At 38.3% G+C, this 21,110-nt stretch overlaps 1 protein-coding gene across 2 annotated transcripts in view; it reads right to left on the bottom strand.

Moving 5' to 3' along the window:
* Positions 1-21,110, bottom strand: part of VPS13B (vacuolar protein sorting 13 homolog B) — an 864,307-nt gene that overhangs the window by 138,286 nt on the left and 704,911 nt on the right. For both annotated transcript variants that reach the window (NM_152564.5, NM_017890.5), the window contains exons 38-39: positions 18,743-18,950; positions 18,248-18,432 (exon numbers count right to left, since the gene is read on the bottom strand). In NM_152564.5, coding sequence (NP_689777.3) covers positions 18,248-18,432; positions 18,743-18,950 — 393 coding nt within the window. The remainder of the gene's footprint in view (positions 1-18,247; positions 18,433-18,742; positions 18,951-21,110) is intronic.

The following is a 21,110-nucleotide window of genomic DNA, read 5'->3' as shown; positions in this document are numbered from 1 at the left end:
AGCAATGGCGGGCGCCCCTCCCCCAGCCTCACTGCCTCCTTGCAGTTTGATCTCAGACTGCTGTGCTAGCAATGAGCGAGGCTCCACGGGTATGGGACCCTCCGAGCCAGGTACGGGATGTAATCTCCTGGTGTGCCGTTTGCTAAGACCATTGGAAAAGCACAGTATTAGGGTGGGAGTGACCTGATTTTCCAGGTGCCGTCTGTCACCCCTTTCTTTGACTAGGAAAGGGTATTCCCTGACCCCTTGCGCTTCCTGGGTGAGGCGATGCCTCGCCCTGCTTTGGCTCAGGCTCAATGCGCTGCACCCACTGTCCTGCACCCACTTTCCAACACTCCCCAGTGAGATGAACCTGGTACCTCAGTTGGAAATGCAGAAATCACCCATCTTCTGTGTTGCTCATGCTGGGAGCTCTAGACTGGAGCTGTTCCTATTCAGCCATCTTGGCTCCACCCTCGATAGACAGGTTCTTTAACTTACCACTAGATGATAGCACTAGCACTAAACATTAGTAAATTATTTTATTGGTCTATGTTGATTGTATTAATATGATGGTATTTATGAAGGTATATTTTATACTCAATGGTAAAATAACTGAAGATTTTCAACACGGTATATAGACTTTAGAGAGATAAAGATATTGCCTGGAAAAAAATGTAAGGTTGTATGTGTAGAAGGAGTCAAATCTACAATAGGATAAACTGTGAAAACGTTGATTCTTCAAGACCATCTTTCATTCTGAATACACGATTACTAAAAGTAGCTTACATCAAGGTTAAGCTCTGAATTTTCTTAATGTGTTCAAAAGAATGTTTTAAGAAAGAGAAAAAATTCAGTAATTTGAGTACCCATCTTTTAAGATAATTTCTAATGAAGTAGAAAGGAACTCTGAAAGCTTGTTATATTATACAGATATACCATGATTTAGCTAAAGAGAAAAAAGATAGTAGTTGGTGTTTGGAATTTGCATTGAAATGGCTTTTCCTCATGGAGAATTAAAAACAAAAAAGGTGTCATGATAAAGGGTTAAAAATGTATGTAAGATTAATGAAATCATTAGTCATTTTTGAAAAATGGTTTAAAGTTGACTTAGCAAATATTTCTGCAACGCTGAATAATTTTCAATCAACAAATATAGATAAAACTGTGAATGTACTCTTATGTATGTTTCCAGATCACTGCAATAAAATGAAGTCTGAGAGCGGTCTTAAGAGAGCTAGTTGTAGTGATAACGAGTCCTTTGAGAATCAGGGTTCAGCTTATATATAGTGAGACTCCCCAAAGTAGAGCACAACCAAATTGGTCATCTCTCTTCACTGGAAATGCCCTTTGGTGGGTATTTCCTTCAGATAGTTAAAAGAGGCTGTCTCCTATATCATATATTGAATAAGCAACCATTCCAGCCTAAGATATGATACAAGAGAACTGTTAACAAGAAAACACACTTACCAAATTCCTTCCAATAGTAGTCTAAAACCAACATATGATTTAGCTGCTTTAGCAGCATTCTGAATATCTCTTCTCAGTGATTCACCACTATGTGGCTGATAAAGCAGTGAAAAAAATGGTTGCCATCTGTAATTACTTATTTGTATAACTCTAGGTTTTCAAAATATTGTGGCACCAAGGTAGAGAAAACTGTCTGATACACGCTTTTGGTTTAATTTTATAAATGCAACAGGATCTCTCCATTAACTAATAGTACAGGTAATGAAATAGAAATTAGAAAACTATTTTATAAGAGTAAAACTAATAAAAATGCATAGTAGAGCAAAATATAGAATTTGGATGGAAAACAAGAGGTGATTTCAAAAATATTATGCTTGTGGGGGAAGGCTGCTGCTTTGGGACCCTATCACCACATCTACAGACTGGAAAAATTTAAGAAGCACTGATCATATGTGAAAGTGTATTTGGGAGGCCGAGGCAGGCGGATCCCGAGGTCAGGAGATTGAGACCATCCTGGCTAACACGGTGAAACCCCGTCTCTACTGAAAATACAAAAAATTAGCCGGGCGTGGTGGCGGGCACCTGTAATCCCAGCTACTTGGGAGGCTGAGGCAGGAGAATGGCATGAACCCGGGAGGCGGAGCTTGCAGTGAGCAGAGATCGCGCCCCTGCACTCCAGCCTGGGCGACAGAGCGAGACTCTGTCTCAAAAAAAAAAAAAAAAAAAAAAAAAAAAAAAAGAAGGACATCTTCAAAGGCTTTCCTGAAACACTTCAAATTCAATAGGACAGAATTTTTCATTAAACTACAAGTATATATCCATCCCTGCAGTTAAGAGTTGTAGGTTCAATAATCAGAATGCCTGATAGAATCTCAGCTTTGCTATTTACCAATGGAATGCCCTTGGGAAAATTATTTAACCTCTCTGGGCTTAGCTTTCTCATCTGTAAAATAAGAATGGTAACAGTTTTTATAAAATAAGAATGATACATTTTTGTAGCATGAGGACTGAACGAGATTATTACATAAAGCTCTCAGCGTAATGTCTGACACTAGATAAGAAAATACATGGAGGCAAAAATATAAAATAAGTAAAAAACTACATCTTTCAGTCCTGAAGTCTTAGGGTTTTTTTCCAAGTTTGTGTCAAGGTTTGTGGGCTACAGTACAATAGCACATGAATATAGCTCAAACTCTCATTTAGGCCTTGTCACCTCACTATTTTTTTTCTTCTTTTAAACTGATTTTTGTTGTTGTTGTTTTTGTTTGTTTGGAGTCAAGAGTCTCGCTCTGTCGCCTAGACTGGAATGCAGTGGTGTGATCCAGCTCACTGCAACATCTGCCTCCTGATTTCAAGTGATTCTCCTGCCTCAGCCTCCTGAGTAACTGGGACTACAGGCACGTGCCACCACACCCAGCTAACTTTTCATATTTTTAGTAGAGACGGGGTTTCACCATGTTGACCAGGCTAGTCTCGAACTCCTGACCTCAAATGATCCACCCGCCTCAGCCTCCCAAAGTGCTGAGATTACAGGCGAGAGCCACCGCGCCCAGCCTAAACTGTTATTTTTACCTCTAATTTCTCCACCTCTAAGGAGAGAATCTTAGCACTCAACTCTCTACCTATAACCCCTCCTAAAAACAACCCCCTCCATGTCCTAAAATCAAGTGTAAACTAAATTCGTAACTTTCTAGTTCCTCACTTCTTCTCTCCATCCTTCAATCCTTTCCACACATACTGAGCAATTGCTACGTTCCAGTCTCTAGACAACAGGGAAACATTGGTAAAAAACAAATGTTTTTACCATTACTCTACTGCTATGGAACTTAACAGTGTATTGAGGATTTCAAACAATTAAGCCCACTGCGACCCAAGCGCAGAGAACACAAGAGGGAGATGGGCTATTCAAAGGGCTCTACATGGTGCTCTGGCAACTAAAATTGATCTCTTCAAGTCAGTGGTGATCTGGAAGTTGTCAAATTCGCAGCGTTTTCCACCCCCCAGTCCATAATATACTCTTTCTGCAGACGTGATACCACTGAGCTCTGTAAACTTCCTGAGATTTTCACTATGCCTGGGCTTTCCTGACACTGTTGCCTCCACGGCCTTCCTTTTTGACCACTCCTTTGTTGATTCCTGTATTAGTTTCCTAGGGCTTCCATGAAAAATTACCACACACTTACTGGCTTAAAACAATTGAGATTTATTTTCTGGCAGTTCTGGAGTTTAGAAGTCTGAAACTGAGGTGTCAGTAGGGCCATATTCCCTCTGAAGGCAATAGAGAAGACCCCCTTCCTTGTCTCTTCCTAGTTTCTGGTGGCTCCCAGCAATCCCAGGTGTTCCTTGGCTTGTAGTTGCGACATTCCAGTCTCTGCCTCCCTCTGCACATGGTCTTCCCCTCTGTGTGTCTGTGTCTCTGTCCAAATTTCCTTTGTCTTATAAGGGATACTGCTTGTTGGATTACAGCCCACTCTAATCGAGTCTGACCTCATCACAACTTAATTACATCTGCAAAAACCCTACTTCCAAATAAAGTCACACTCTGAGGTTCCAGGTAGAAATGAATTTGGGAGGGGAAACTGTTCAACCCATTAAAATTACTCATCTACTATTTATTTACTAGATACAATGAGTTTTTTCATGGTTCTATTCTCATCTCTCTAGTCTTTGAACTCTTTACTTTTTCTGAGTGTGACTTCTATTTTGCTTTCTTGGCTTCACTTTTCACTTCCATGAAGATAATTCCCCAAACCATTTCTTAAATAAGTCTCCCTCTTCTCCGAATTATCAGCCCACATGTCCAAACTTCTAGTGGCATTTACTACGATTATTCCTCCAAAACCTTAAATTTTAAATGTCCAATGTAGAACCTATTATCTCTTCCATAGTCCTGGCTGCTCCATTTTTCTTCTGACATTTCCAGTCCCCATTAATGGTTTTCCATCCATCTAGTCATTTAGAATAGGGTCATCTTTAATTTTCCCTTCCCATTACCATACACATCCGGGCATTGAAATCTGTTTATTCTGCCTCCAGATGTCTCCATCTTACATTCATTTCCTCCTTCCCATTCCAACTGTCATTCTTATTACTTGTGAGTAATTATAATGTGCTCTGAACAGTTGTCTATGCATCCAATATATAGTATGTCCTGATTCATCCTTTCCTCTGTAATTGGTCATGGTCATTGCTCAGCTCAATAGCCTTAATGACTACCTTCACAGAATAAAGTGCTTATTTATGGAATAAAGCCCAAGTGTCTCAGCAAGCACTTAAAACCCTCCACTATCATGCTTTAAGTCTACTTTTCACACCCATCTCCTATTATATCAACTCCCATCCCTGCCTTTAGTTATAACACTTACTGTATTTTGCTGGGTAATTATTGCCAATCTATTTGTTTCATGAAGCTTAGATTTTAAGCTTTTTGAGAAAATGTACATTAAGAGTACCTTGTAAATATGATTAATCATCATCATCATCTTTTGGTCTTCCCCTCAAGTTTGTTGGATACAACAGAGTCTAAGTAAAGTAAATAAGGATTCAAAAAGTTCAAACACTCAAATGTCCATCAGCTGATGAATGGATAAGCAAAATGTGGTATATCCATATAAAGCAATATCATTTGGCAACAGAAAGGAATGAAGTACAGATACATGATACGACATGGATGAACTGTGAAAATAACATGCTAAATGACAGAAGCCAGTCACAAAAAAACTATATTTATATGATTCCACTTATGTGAAATGTCCAGAATAGGCAGATATATAGAGACAGAAAGTAGATTCGTGATTACTTAGGGCTGGGGGTTGGGAAGACCAGAAGGTGAAAGCTAAAGAGTCCTAAGTTTCTTTTTGAGGTGATAAAAATATTCCAAAATTGATTCTGGTGAGGACTTCACAACTTCATGAATATATTAAAATCACTGAATTATACTATTTAAATTAGGGAATTGTATGATGTGTGAATTATATCTCAATAAAGCTGCTAAAAAGGTTGCTGCTAAAAAGCATAAGAGAACCAAGACCTTTAACTTTGACGTAGCATTTAAAAATGTTGCTAGAAAACATCTAAGGTAATAAAGTTTCATTTTTTTTAACTAGGTATTGAATTTTTAAAATTGGAAGCCATGTGTGCTTGACAAAAATAAATTTTTTTTCCAATATCTTTATGGAAAGGACAGATAAAGAGGTAAAGAATTTGTAGCTTGCAATCAAAACTCAGATTTCCTCCAAGATTCAAAATCTAGGACAGAACAAGAGGCAAATTAGCACCTGCAGATGATAAGCCCTTAGCAGAACATAATAATTGCTAACATTTATTCAGCACTATGTGCTAGACACTGTTCTACATATTTTTTTACATCCAACAGTCATTTATTCCTCCTAACAACTGAATGAGGCATGAGCTATGATTATCCCTAATTTGCAGATGTGAAAGCTGAAGTACTAAGAAGTTACTTTACATAACTTGCCCGAGATCACCAGCTGACCTTGGATTTGGACTCAGAGACTTTAGCTCCAGAATCTGTGCTCTTAACAGCTGGACGACATTGTTTTTCTGTACTTCCCTCTTTCCTTCTGTTTGCTGTTCTCTTCAACAATGTAGCTCCCAAGAAATGATCTATGCTTAATGGATAATGGTTTTTATTGTGAATCTCATAGGAGGCAAATACTTCTATTTGACAGAGACCAAGTCATAAAAGATGGTACCAGACCATCAATTCATATTTACTATTCTTTCATTTTTTACACCCCAAACATTTTTAATACTGAGCAGTGAACATCAAACACACTGATTGCTAAACATAGTTCTTCATTTTGAGAAATGCTCCCCTCCCCCTTTTAAATGTGAGAGTATTTAATAGGAAAAGAGAAATAGGCTAATAAAATTTCTACCACCAAATAAAGTGACAGGATAAAAATGACTTCAGTATTCTTCCAGTTTGCAAATGTTTTCCATTTACTTTAAAAGCACGTCTTACTGACAAATTCCTTCCCCACCTCTTACTTTTTTGAAGGGCAAGGAATGCTAGCATTTCAAACTATTTATTATTATTTTTTGTTTCGAAAATCCCATTTGCTTCTTAAGTGTTATCTACAAATTCTGCCTTGGCAGACCTTTCGTTAATGAACTGGAAAGCGAGTTTTCTTACTGCACCATAGACTAGACAAAGAAGCTCACAATCAGGCAAGATGAGAAGCAGTTTACTGGGTGGGTGGAGAGACTGTGGACAGTTCCTTGGTGTTATGGCTGTGATGCCAGCAGGGCTGATGTTGTCTCCCAATATCTCCTCTTTCTTTCTTCCTCTGCAAACGAGCCCCATTTCCCTTTTAACTTGGTGTGGCCATGTGACAAAATTCTGGGCTCTGGGATGTTAGCAGCACAGCAGGACAGTGTGTGGGTTCCAAGGCATATCCATAAAGCGGGGAGGCATGCTCTGTTTTGGTCCTTTCCTATTCTTGTGGCTGGAGCAGGAACAAGATGCTTGAAGCTTCTACAGCCATCTTGGACCATGAAGGAAAGGGTGCTGGGGATGGCAGAGTAGCATACAGCAGGAAGATGGGTCCTCATGACTTCGTAGAGACATTCGCAGTCCTAGATCACTAACCTCCAGACTGTTCCCATGTGTGAAAGGAAATAAACTTCTATTTTACCTAAGCTACTGGTATTGCATATTTTCTGTCTTTCATATCTAAACCTAATACTAATTGACATAGAGCTGAAAAGCCCCAGCAGTGTCTCTTATGTTCTTGTGATTCTTCACGAGAGACTCTTTCATGGCTTATAGGGGGGTCTATAAACTTCCTGAAATTGTATGTTAAATCTCTTGTTAATTCATGCACTGCTCAGGGAGAGGAGGTCCCCCATTTAACTTTTCAGATCCTCAGCTTCTTCATTGTAATAGGGGGATAGCAACACTTTCTCTGCAGGGTTGATTCAGGCTTAGATAGAATGTGTGTAAAGCACCTCACAAAGTGAATAGTGCCTAGCATAGCAGGCACTCCTCTTTATTTCCAAAATTGTGTGAATGCTTTTGCCACACATCCCACTGAGCTTAAATCTTGCAATTACCTTGACTTCTCTTACTTCCTCATTAAATTACCATATTAGTTGTCAAGAACATAGATTTCTTCTCTATAACCTCTCTTGCATTCATTTCTTTTTCTCCTTCCCCACTACTCCCTTCAGGTTGCAGCCTCTCATCTCTCTAAGACCCTTACCAGGTCTTCTTATTCTGGTCTCTCCTGATTCATTTCACCTCCACAAGACTACTAATGTTTCCAAAGCTCTGGACTGCCAGTGGTTCTCCAATGCCTATCAAATGAAATATAAACCCCACACTCTAAATGTAGTCAAGGTAGCACAACAAAGATGAAAGAATTATGAAATCGACAAACTGAGATTTGAATCCTGGTTTTACTCCCTTAACTTGCTTTATGATCTTGGGAAAATTATTTTTCTCAGAACCTCATTTACCTTAGCTCTAAACAGTACATACCACACAGGGTTATAGTGAAGATAATGGTACATACAAGGTTAGAGGGAAGATAGAAGGGATATCACATATAAAATGACAAGTTTGGTGCTTGGTACATACTAGGTGCTCAAAAAATGAGTTTCCTTCTCTTTTCCCACCATGGAATGAATGGAGATTAAGAAGCCACATCTGCGGCCTCTCACTCACTCTTCCACTAATCCCATACTTGTCTAACCTGTGCTAGTCAAACCAGATGATTTGCCACTTCCCAGAAATATGTTCTGCCCTCTCTATCCAGTTCTGAAATTTTGCTCACTGAGTTCTTCTTTATATACAACTTCACTCCATTTTTTTTCAGTTTTAATCCTCTTCATCCTTCAAGGATCACCTCAGTAACCATCTCCTCCATGAAGCCTTGTCTTGATGTCTCAATTCAAATGTAAGCTTCGTTTAAAAAGGCAGATTCTCTGTGGCTTTTTCGTGGCATGTCACAGGTTCTGCCCTGTCATGTTTTATGTACTTGTCCCTCCTGAAAGACTACAGGTACCCTTCAGGAGGTACCTGTACCTGTACCTACAGGTACCCTTCAGGAGGTACCTGTACCTGTACCTACAGGTACCTTTCAGGAGGTACCTGTACCTGTACCTACAGGTACCTTTCAGGAGGTACCTGTACCTGTACCTACAGGTACCTTTCAGGAGAGAAGAGCTAGAGCCCTCTCCACTTTTGTGTCTCTCTCTCAGCATTTAGCCCAGGTCCTTTCATCTGTATTTACTGAGTTAATCTCAAAAATCTCAGGCAGGGCTCTTTTTAATGTATTCCTAGATCTTTTTTTCATACTTTTACAACATTATGAAGACAGAATGATTAAAAGTGTATTCAGGGAACACTCTATTTTAGATTTTTCTTTGTCTAAAAAAAGGAGGCAATGGCTTCTGGAAGCAAAACACTTAGCAGTTGATCCAGCACCGTTACCCATCATTCAAAAACATTTATTATTGTGTCCACTGGATACACAAGACTTGTTCCTTTCCTTTATTTCCTAAGAGTCTGGCTCAACCTCCTACTTCCCCAAAGCCCCCAGGCCTTTTTATTTTCCTTTCTGCATTTCAACAACAATGAATTTCATATCTGGCTTTGAGCATCCCTCCTAAAGATGATGGATAGGAGCAAAGCCTTCTGGGACACATTAGTACAGCTGCCAGTGGGCAGGAGGTGCTTATAAAAAGGCTCAGGATTCTGGGAACATATGTGCAGCTATAAGTGAACTGCCCAACCCAGCTGAAAAGAAACATCCAAGAACACTTCCTTTTATTCTTTTTAAGCTATGTGTGGAAGAGGCAAATCATATTCAATTGCAAATAACTCTCAGAAGGATTCTCTTTTTGTAGTGCCATCATGTGCTAATATCATAACCTTTGCCTATCAGGTCCAGGTGCTTCAAAATTACGGGAAGCTTGTAAAGTCAAATTTAAAGCAGCAAAAGTCTAGTTTCTACTTTATTGGATAATACTGACTATTACTATCTGACTCAGAACATTTTCCATGTAATTATGAAAAAGACAAAAACCCCACACAACTATAAGATTTAATGAAGCTTTAGTTCAGTCTGTGGACAAGTAGTAGATAAAATATTATTAGAAAACTAAACACAATGAAATCACCATCAAGCTACAGACATTAAACATTACATTGTAAACTCAATTTCAAAAAAAGAAAATTACTTTATATGTAAAGCTCTCATACTTCATTAGAACTGGAAGACTATAGAATCTGTGAAGTTGCCAATGTATTACATAGTCATTGCACTAAAAAGCAAGCACTAGTCAAGAAAGGTATTGATCTTAAGCACACTGGAGATAAGAAACTATCTCATGTGTGTCTGTAAGACAAAGGACCTTGCCTAACCTACATTTTGAGAGGATACTAGGGGAAGACAGCGACAGGATTTAAAAATGGTGTAAGGCTTTTCTCCAGATGCAGATAGCCTTTGATGTGCAGAGCAGAATGTCTTTTCCAGATATTTGCAAAGGGAAAAGCTGGAAAAACCACAGCAAAATTGAGTCAATTTTTGTCAGTGAGAGGTCAACACAAACCATGAGTTTGCCCAATATAGCCAGGGTGGAAAGCAAGAGCAGTAAGAGAGATGTGACATAAAATAGATCCCCTGGGAAATTTCTGTAAAGCTCACAATGACCCCAAATTCAGCCGTGTTGGTAAAACGTGGCTCTCCCCATGACCAAAGTTGACTGGGCCAAGAGCACCTGATATCAAACTTGGTAAATTACGAATGTGGATCTGAAACAGAGGCTGGACTTGTAAATGTGACTTTTGGAGCTCTGGAAGCTGTGGGGAAAGTACTGGGTGGCCTAAGAAGAAAGGGAGAAAAAAAAAGTCTGTTGAAAGGGAAGAATAAAGCAAATACGGGGAAAGAAAAAGAGAAAAAGCAATAGCGAGTGAATATTCCCCTGGGTTCCTATCTTCCATTCCTGGCCCCAGTTCTTCCAGAGGCCCTGCTGCAATTTGCAATTGTTTCCAGGACTGCCCACTGTATCTTGATATTAATCCCCCTCATTTTAGCTTAAGCTAACTTCAGTGGGGTTTCTGCTACCTGCAACCTAAAGAACTGTAGTCGACATACTACCAGAGTCCACTAACCATAACTGTGGGGAAGATAGTGTCTCTTACAGCAGTTGCTCTCAATGAAAGCATTCATCAATCACACACAGAGCCAGCATCCCTAACAATTATTACGACATTAACAGACTATAAACACAAAAACCTCCTTCTCAGAAAACAGGGCTTTGTCTGTCTAATGTGGTCTAACACATTAGAATCCCAGATTCTTTGATCAATTGATATGGGAAAGAAGATAATGATGGTAACAGCTACCATTTATGATGTGTCATAATAATTGATTGGGTCTTCAACTATGTAAGGCATTACGCTAAATGCTCCACACACATTATCCCCACTCCTCATAACTCTTAAGGTAGTGAGAATAGACATTTGTTTGAAAAGGTTTGTGACATATTGAACAGAGATGTCATCAGGGAAAGGCCAACCTGCTGGGAGGGGCATTTAATGAAAAGGGCATTTAATGTGATGGATTAACCATCATTCAAGATCTAGCCATTGGTCCTAGAGTCTCAGAAAATTTCAGTGGTATTCTAGCACTGACTAGACTTAGGAATGCTGACTCATGCTAACAAAGTTCACTAGAGACTGACATATAAACAAAATGCCAAGTTATGTTATTAAGTTACCATGAGATGTATAACTGCCAAGCAGTCTGGATACTGATGTTGGCTCAACCAGTGTATGATATACTTTCTCCATGTAGACAGACTACACTGGGAGCCAAACTATTAGAAGGATATTTAGGTGGTTACATGATTTGAATGTTAGACATAGAGATTTGACAGCTGCTACATTCATTTCCATAAAGGGGATTTAGCTACCAGGTGAACCAGACTCTTAGGCACCATTTCTTTGGTTGCTGCCAGGAAGATCTATTCCAACAAATATTTCTGTGACCCTCCTGGGCTCCAGAGCTGACTAGTCATCTTCCTAAAGGAAAAGTTTTTTCTTTAGCTATCTTAAAACCTGATACTGTTTGGCTCTGTGTCCCCACCCAAATCTCATCTTGTAACTCCCATAATTCCCACGTGTTGTGGGAGGGAACCAGTGGGAGATGAATGAATCAGGGGGCAGGTCTTTCTCATGCTATTCTTGTGATAGTGAATGGGTCTCACAAGATCTGATGGTTTTAAATACAGGCGTTTCTTTGCACAAGCTCTCTCTTTGCCTGCTGCCATCCATGTAAGATGTGACTTGCTCCTTTTTGTCTTCTGCCATGATATTGAGGCCTCCCCAGCCATGTGGAACTGTAAGTCCAATAAACCTCTTTCTTTTGTAAATTGGCCAGTCTTGGGTATGTCTTTATCAGCAGTGTGAAAACAGACTAATACAATACCCAATCCATCTTGTGTGTTTGGCAGTCTTTTTATTGACTTAAAGTTACTTTGCATATCTTTGTCTAACTCATTATTTCATGATTTAACATTTGAAGTAAAAGGATAATTCTATTTTCCTTCTTTCCACATTTCTCAGTGAGGTGGCTCACTGTCATTCTAATGTATCATCTCAATTTTTTACATATAAGTGAAAAAAACAGGTTTTATAGTCAGAAAGACTGGGGATTAAATTTTGGCTCCCTCACTTATAAATTTTGTGATTCACAACCAGTTAATTAACTTTTTCTTGGCCTCAGTTTTCCTACTTGTAAAATGGGAATGAGGCCCACCTCATGGAGTAAAATTAAATTTAATGAGTTATTATGTATGTAAAGTACCCAGCACAGTGCTGGGTGCAAAACACACAAGTGATCAGAAATGCCCACTGGAGCAAAAATAACAGAGATCTCTACCATTTAGGTTCTCTCTGTGTCTTAGAAAGTTTATGCTGCTATAATAAAATACTTCATACTGGGTAACTTATAAATAATAGAATTTTTGGTGGCTCATGCCTGTAATCCCAGCACTTTGGGAGGCCAAGGCGGGCAGATCACTTGAGGTCGGGAGTTCGAGACCAGCCTGGCCAACATGGTGAAGCCCCATCTCTACTAAAAATACAAAAATTAGCCAGGTGTGGCTAACACTTTCTCGATTAAAAAAGGCATTTTCAATCTTAAGAATTTGTTCCTGTTCCCTTATCATTGTATTCTTCTTGTTTTCATATTTATTTTCATTTATATGTTGCCATAAACTTTTAGATATCTTCATTTGGCATGTGACAATGGCCAAGAACCATGACAGATCTGTATAGGAATTAAAATACCCATTACCAATTTTACTACCAAAAAATGGATTGAGTATTTATAATCTGGGAACATATGCATTTCCAAAATGGAATCCTCAATAGGCAGTGCACACAGGAGGATTAGGAGAGAGGAAAACCTACTATGTGCCATATACAGTGCCAGAAATTTCTTTTATTGAGACCCATTTAAACTGCACAACACTCCTAGGTTGGTGGCATTACTTTATCTAACAGATGCTAATTTTATTGAGATCTAAATATACTACTAACATTTAAAAGTTCACATGATAAAATTATAAGCTGACCATAAAATAAGCTTTTGCATTCTAGGAACATTACTTTTGAGGTTTTTATTCAGAACCTATGATTAGTTTGATTTATTATTATAGACATGTTTTTCATGTTTATATTTTTCATTACAATTACAAAATAAATTCCATAAAGTGATATGGGGAGTTTGTTTATAAATCTCATCAACAATCATGGAATGAGGAATATAAAGAGACAAATCTGAGGCTTCTGTATTATAAGCCAACTCTATAAGGCCAATTTTTAAGTGAATTAAATGGTCTTGAAGGAAAAAGTCATCTAAACTCAATTCTGTTTTGAGGACTAAACCTAAGGAGATTAATATATCTCTGTATTTAAGAATTAGCTACTGTTTAAGGGAGCAGGTAAGCTTGGCAGACTATTCAATGATATCACAAAGAGGTTGAGTAATGTAATGACATTAGACTGTGTGTACAGATGATACCACTGAAAAATAACACAACGCACCCTGATATAGTTTGGTGTAGAAAATCAAAACACATTCATTCGTTCCATAAAATAGTGATATATAATGTAATACTTTTGAATGATATGAAACAGAACACGGAAGTTCATGGATTCGTTTATCCAGTCAACATATTTATTGAACATCTCTACTGCGATGGATACTGTAAAGCAGTGGTCCCCAATCTTTTTGGCACCAGGGACCGGTTTCATAGAAGACAATTTTTCCATAGACCAAGGGGTGGGGAGATGATTTTGGGATAAAACTGTTCCACTTCAGATGATCAGGCATTGGTTAGATTCTCATAAAGAGTCCACAACCTAGATCCCTCACATGCGCAGTTCACAATAGGGTTTGCGCTCATATGAAAATGTAATGCCCCTGCTCATTAGATTGGGAGGCAGAGCTCAGGTGGGAATGCTTGCCTGCCACTCACCTTCTGCTGTGTGGCCTGGTTCCTAACAGGCCATGGGCTGGGGGACCCTGCTGTAAAGGACATGATGACAAATTAGATACAACCTCTTCCTTTACAGACATACAATCTAGGAGAGACACAAGATGGGGACACATAAGTTCAAGTGTGAGGAATACAGTGAAAAATAGCATAAAAGTAGTACCATGAAGTGCTACAAGATTTCAGAGGAGGGCTTTATCATGTTTGAACATGGCATCTAGGAAAGGCTTCATTGACTACATGGCATTTTAGCTCTTCTGAAGTGTGGGGAGGAATTCAGCTGGCAGAGATGGGAGGGATTCAAATGAAGAGGAAGCAGGATGTTATAGGTTGGTTTGGGGAATGCCAGATAGGCCAGTTTGATAGAGGACAGACCATGTCTAAGGGACTGCAAGGCAAAATTGGGGGATGGGGGCAGTTTATGCCGGGCTCTCAAGGTCAGTCTGGCAGAGTAACAGAGCCACTGAAGGTTTTCTTCAGGGAATTATACAATCTATTTGTTCCTCTAAAAACTTAGAAGGACAGGCTGGAAGGAAGAGATACTGGAGCCTGGAATTCCATCTAGGAGTCTTTTTTAGTGGTCTAGGCATTTGTGTGATAAGAAAAAGCGGAGGGGAGGAAACAAGCCCTTATTAAGAGCTCACTATGTGTAATGCATTTATTTATTTAAGTGTATTAGATATAATACTCCACGACAACTGTGAAAGGTAGATAACATCAACTCCAATGTTCAGTTGAGGAAACTGAAGCTCAAAAAGATCAGTAGTTTGCCCAAGGTCAATGAGTTAGTTAAAATAAGGCGGGGGGTGGGGAGACAGTGGCAACTGAGACTTCAAAACCCATTTTATAATATACACTAGGTTGATTAGGGCCTTCCTTTCATAAGCTCCCTGAAATTCAGGATCAGCTGTTGAGGATTTTAGCTGTGCCTCTAGTATAGAACCAGAAATAATCACATATGGTAGGAGAATGATTCTGACAACAGATGAAATTAGATTCTTCTACCCCACACGACCACAGAAATTTCCCTGCTAGACTGAAGGATTGAGCTTTTAATGAGTTGATTGTGTCTTATCTGTCTCTGGATCCCCCAGAGCAAGCCCAGGGCCTGGCACTGTAGATCCTCAAGGAGAAAGCTGTTGTATTAAATCAAACTTGTGATTCATGTTACATATGTTCTGTCCTCAACTGAAGTTCTAATGAAACAAAATATTTTGTATCGTTCTAATATTGCAACTCAAGAGAGTTGTTTCCACAGATGAGACCCACTCCAAGCTCTGGGACAAACTCTGCTCCTATCTGGGAGAGTATGAGAATTGAACTGAGAGCTCAGCAGCTTGGTATCAAGTCAGCCTCGTTGCCAGTCTTGATCTGTTCCTCGATCCAAGTTGTAGATTCTGAGTGCGCTCCTTCTCACCACTAGGATCCAGCTCTCCCTCCTTTCTAACTTCTGGTAGTTACAACCCTGTCTTGCTCCCTAGGCCAGCATCCCTGTCTTTGAATTTTGCCCACATATAGGATCTTCATTTCTCCAACAAAATATGAAACATAGCAAGACCTTTTTGATACCAACTCTTTGCTTGCTGAAATCTGCCAGGCTGTGTTTTGCTTATATGCCAAGGCTACTGTCTGGGTCCCTGGGACTCTCTGATCTCCTGGACTACTCCAGCTGGTCTGTAGAGTCATCCATCATACTCCAGATCTCCTTGGTCTAGCCTGTGCTTCTACTTGATGAAAGGAGTTTGGACAATAGTCATCATAATATCTGTTGAGTATCCCTTATCCAAAATGCTAGGGACCAGAAGTGTTGGATTTCAGATATTTTTCAGATTTTGGAATATTTGCAAATACGTACTAGTTGAAGATCCCTAATCCATAAATTCAAAATCTGAAATACCCCAATAAGCATTTCCTTTGAGCATCATGTTAACACTCAGAAAGTTTTGGATTTTGGAGTATTTTAGATTTCAGATTTTTGGATTAGACTGCTGAATCTGTAATAGTGGTAATAGTCATACTTATATAACATTTGCTATGTGCCAGGCACAGTTCTATGTATTTTATAAATATTGATTCTTACAATCATCACATTATTATTAGCCTCATTTTGTTGTTGGAATAAAAAGTAAAACAAAAATCCAACCTGAGTGGTTGTTACTTGTCTAATGTGACAATGTTTGCAAGTGCTAGAGCAAGACTTTGAACCCAGGCATTCTGGCTATAGTTCATCCTCTTAATCACTATGCTCTCCTAATAACCGTGAGAAGATAGAAAATATGCCACTAGTAAATGTACTATCTTAGATGCCTTAATTAATATAATTTACATCATACCACCAATAATTAGTTATTACACTTATGTTAATAAATGTGTTAATATCTAGCTATAACTATAAACCTTTAGCCCTTACATGAAGTTAAAACTTTAATGTATGCGTATTTTCATGTTGATTGAAAATCTACAGATATTCTGCATTTAGGCAAGTCTGATAAGACAGTAGAATTCGGCCGGGCACGGTGGCTCACGCCTGTAATCCCAGCACTTTGGGAGGCCGAGGCAGGTGGATCATGAGGTCAGGAGATCCAGACCATCCTGGCTAACATGGTGAAACCCCATCTCTACTAAAAATACAAAAAAATTAGCTGGGCATGGTGGCGGACACCTGTAGTCCCATCTACTCGGGAGGCTGAGGCAGGAGAATGGCCTGAACCCAGGAGGCGGAGCTTGCAGTGAGCCGAGATCTTGCCACTGCACTCCAGCCTGGGTGACAGAGCAAGATTCTGTCTCAAAAAAAAAAAAAAAAGGAATTACATAAGATTGTAATATGACTTATATTAATATGTAGCTGATTTGTATTATAAAACTAATTTGTTAAGAACAGAGCAGTCACTTCAAACATTTGGTGAGTGTACCTATGTACCAGAGGCTGGAGATACATCATCAAGACATATAAGGAGCTTATTTTCTAACAGTAGAAAGATCACACGCAAGTAAACAAATGCATAATTAGGACTAGCAGTAAGAACTATAAGAAAGCAAAACAAGGAAATGCAATACAGAATGAAGTAGTTGTAGTGGGCTAGTCAGGATATGACATTTGAGCTGGTACCTGACTGACGAAGACCAAGGTTGGTAATGTGACAGGTGGTCTGCTCAAGGAGAAAAAGGAGGCCAGAGTGGCTAAAGGATCATGAGAAAGGGAGAAACTGGCATGAACTCCAGTTGGAGAGGTGAGCAGAGTCCAGACTATAGGTCCTTGCAGGCCACAGCAAGAGATCTGAATTTTGTTCTAAGTATTAGAGGAAGTCACCACAGGGTTTTAAGTTAGGGAAGTGATATAGTATAACCTACATTTAAAAAATATCAGTTTAGCTGCTATTTGGAGAATGCATTCCAAGTGGTCAAGAACAGAAGCATAGAGGCCAATTAGGAAGCTACTGGAGTAGGGAACAGAAGATGGCAGCTTGAACTCAAGTTGTATCAGCAGAAACAGAGAAGTAGATGGAATAGGGACATATTTTGTAGGCAGAACTGACAGGACTTGTTGATGGGTTTTGACGCAGGGAAGTAGGGAAAGAAGGCAATCAGGAATGACCTGTAGATTTTGAGTGGATGGTTGTATGATCTGGTAATAGGTGGAAGATTAAGGGAGAAACAAATTTTAAGAGAAACTCCTATCAGTAGAACATTAGTAAGTACAAAGATAACATAGTGATATCCACAATGACATTTATATTAAACTCGGAATAACAAGCAACACACTTTCACAAAACCTTAGGGAATATGATCACAGGTTAGACCTTTTCTTTAATAGAAAAATCAGCCTACCTCAAGCCCCAAGACCATTTCAGCTATGGAAATGAAAACTACAGTCATCTCTTTCTAGCCTTACATGGGCATATTTTGTTTCATGGGGCGGTTCTAGAAACTCTGAAGAGTGTGAACACATGATAGGCACTTAATAAAGGAGTGGTGAACTAAATGACACCTCCTTGTCCCATTATAATCTACTCACAATAAAATGGAGAGTAGAATTGAGAACTCTTAAAATTGCCATGTATCATGAATTTGGATTACATTATTACCTTATTTTTTAAAATCCCATTATATATGTGTGTGGATACACACACACCACACACACAGATGTGTATTTCTCTCTGATACTATTAATGTAAGAAGTAAGTATGTTCCAAACATTTTTCCTAATATATGATCAGCCCTTTCCCACAATGTTTTCATTTTACAATGAATGGTCATTACATACCTGTAGCACATCACCAAGGTCTGCTGTGCTAATATCTGGATCCTCTGTGGTGTTAAAAGGTACAGGAGTTATTCGTACAAGGGTGAGTACTCTAGGTTCTGGATATCTCCATAACATCATCCCTGGGCAATCTTCAGTTTCATTATAAAATAAGACTTCATAGACCCCAGGCAATTTCAAAGATTCTGTCAAATAAAAGTATAATTAATTGTATGATTTAAAGGGGAACATGACAAAGGGGAAAAAGTAAAGGAAGAAGAAATTATGAGAATAAAAGATATAAAGAAGCTAGTTGGTCATTTTTATATATATTCTGGAACAGAAAGAAATGAAGAACTTCCCCTAAGAGAGATTGAATGATAATGTACTATTTTTGTACTGCAAATTTTAACGCACTTTAAAAAGCCATCTTGATTGTTTTTATTTAGTCAACATGCATTTAAAATGCAACCACATGCACAGAGACACTCTCATACTGAGTCTGTTGCTACTTACCAGCATCCTGTACATACTGAAATAGACCTGTCCGTAGGTCATCTGAACTTTGTTCACTTTTAAATGTCTGATTCTTTTCCACAGGAGATGACATTTGAGGCACTGGTTCAGAAACTTGTACTTCAAAATTTCCCTCCTCATTAAGGTATCCATTGAGTAATTCATGTAGAAGAACTAAACAATTCAAATGTTCTTGACCCCAGAAGACCTTTAAAATCATAAAAAAATTCTAGTAGCTTTTAAATACAAACATTTCTTGAGACTAATTAGGTATAATCATATTTGAATTAATGTAGGACTGTAATTATGTTCAATTTAATTACTTATAAACTATAATTCCTAAAAAGTAATTGACTTACAGGATGAAATTCTATTGCTTGAATAAATATATAACAACAAAAAAATTAATTATATCTTATATTGTGTGAATAACAATAAATTTTAAATGTTGAATTGAAATTATGTTGATGTGAAGTAATGTTTATGAATTAATTTAGCTAAGAGGGAAAAGAACACCTATTATAGTCTGAGAGAAGGCAATGAAGATCCTCTAGGCCAAAATGTTAATAAAATCATAATAATAACCTTGTGGGACAGCTCTGACATTCTGCCATGAGATTAAATAAGCAATCCTTATTATAGGGTTTCTTTCTCTGCACTTTTAGAGGGAGATTTCTCAATGAACCTGAACTTAGAAGGCTCCCAACTTCTGTGTTTAGTAAGACTGTGCCAACACAGAGGATTCCAGAGCCCCTGAAAATCAATTATACTACAGTAGCTACAGTAGAGTTTCAGAACAAAAGGACTTAGTGTTTCCTCTAATGGAGATTAAGTTTTATTTTTCTGCATGTGAGTAATATTAGTCTATAACTACTAAGTTATAGACATATAATGACCAGTAGGTTATAATGAAGATTAAAACTTTCAAAAATGTTAATTTTCTCTGTAAATACTGAATAAAGGCAATACAACTATCAATTCTAAGAGAACCAGGTAACGCAGAAAAGAAAAAAGAATATATAGTAGTAGAAAATAATAGCCCCATATCGTGTGGGTAAGTTTTAAACCCTAGCCTTAGGTTCTGCTCTCTGGAATTAAGGCATCTCAGAAATGAAAGTAAAAGATGTAACACTAAGTGTACTTGTGTTCTCATCAATCTTATTTTTATTGGATGCTGAAAAATAGAGACAGGTGAAAAGTCAAACGGGGAGTAGAATGTTGTGCTCTAGCCTTTAAATTGTCAAGAGACAATGACTGTAATACAGAGGTAATACACTGTACTTTGTTTTTGCTTTTATTAATGCTGTGGTTTAAAATTTTCTTACTTTTTATTTTTAAGCACTTGGTCATGTAAACAGATCATTGTCGTTTTCAATGTGAAGTTACTTGGCTGCCTTGGAAAAAAGGTAAGACAATGAATATTCTTGATAAAGTAATACATGTTTATTGCTAAATATATGAAGATTTCTGATAGATACTGAAAATCTCCAAAGCAACACAAAACAGTAAGTTATTAGGATCTTCCCAAATCTTGCTCTGTGCATTAAAAAGGAAACTGGTGAAAACTTGAGGCAATACAACTTTTAGATAAATACAAAAAATTGGCCGGGTGCTATGTATGGCTCATGCCTGTAATCCCAGCATGGGTGGAGGATCACTTGAGCCCATGAGTTTGAGACCAGCCTGGGCAACATAGTGAGAACCTGTCTCTTAAAAAAAATAGTCAAGCATAGTGGTGCATGCTTGTGGTCCTGGGTACTCGGGAGGCTGAGGTGGGAGGATCTCTTGAGCCCAGGAGGCTGAAGCTGCAGTGAGCTGTTATCACACCACTGCACTTCAGGATGTGCAACAAAATGAGATTCTGTCTCAAAAAAAAAAAAAGAAAAAAAGAAAAAAATTCACATTTAATGTCTCCATTATTGACCAATTAGTTGTTTTAATTTTCTATCATTGTGAATCTTTCAAGCTTTTTGGATTCATGTCAAGTTTAGAGTGGCATCAAGTTACATGAAGATTAAATTAAAATCTATCCAAATACAAAATAATCAAGAAATAAGTTGGATGCCTTCACACATTCTATATTTGGCTGTTAAGACAAATGCATTAAGAGCTTGCAGTGTGACTAATTTATCAAGTGTTGTAATCAGATATCATCACATGTAAAATATTTAATATTAGGAAATTGTTCTTATATATTGCTAGTGACACTGTGCTTGCAACAGGTTGACTACTTTGTATTAATAATTAAAAAAATCTATAGCCTCAACAACATAGTGAGACCTCATCTCTACTGAAAAAAAAAATAAAAAACATTAGCTGGGTGTGGTGGCACATAGTTCTACCCACTCAGGAGGTTGATGCAAGAGGA

Source organism: Homo sapiens, chromosome 8, assembly GCF_000001405.40.
Source record: "Homo sapiens chromosome 8, GRCh38.p14 Primary Assembly".
NCBI classification, from domain to species: domain Eukaryota; kingdom Metazoa; phylum Chordata; class Mammalia; order Primates; family Hominidae; genus Homo; species Homo sapiens.
The sequence above is the reverse complement of the archived record's forward strand: the minus strand, read 5'-3'. Positions and strand labels throughout refer to the sequence as shown.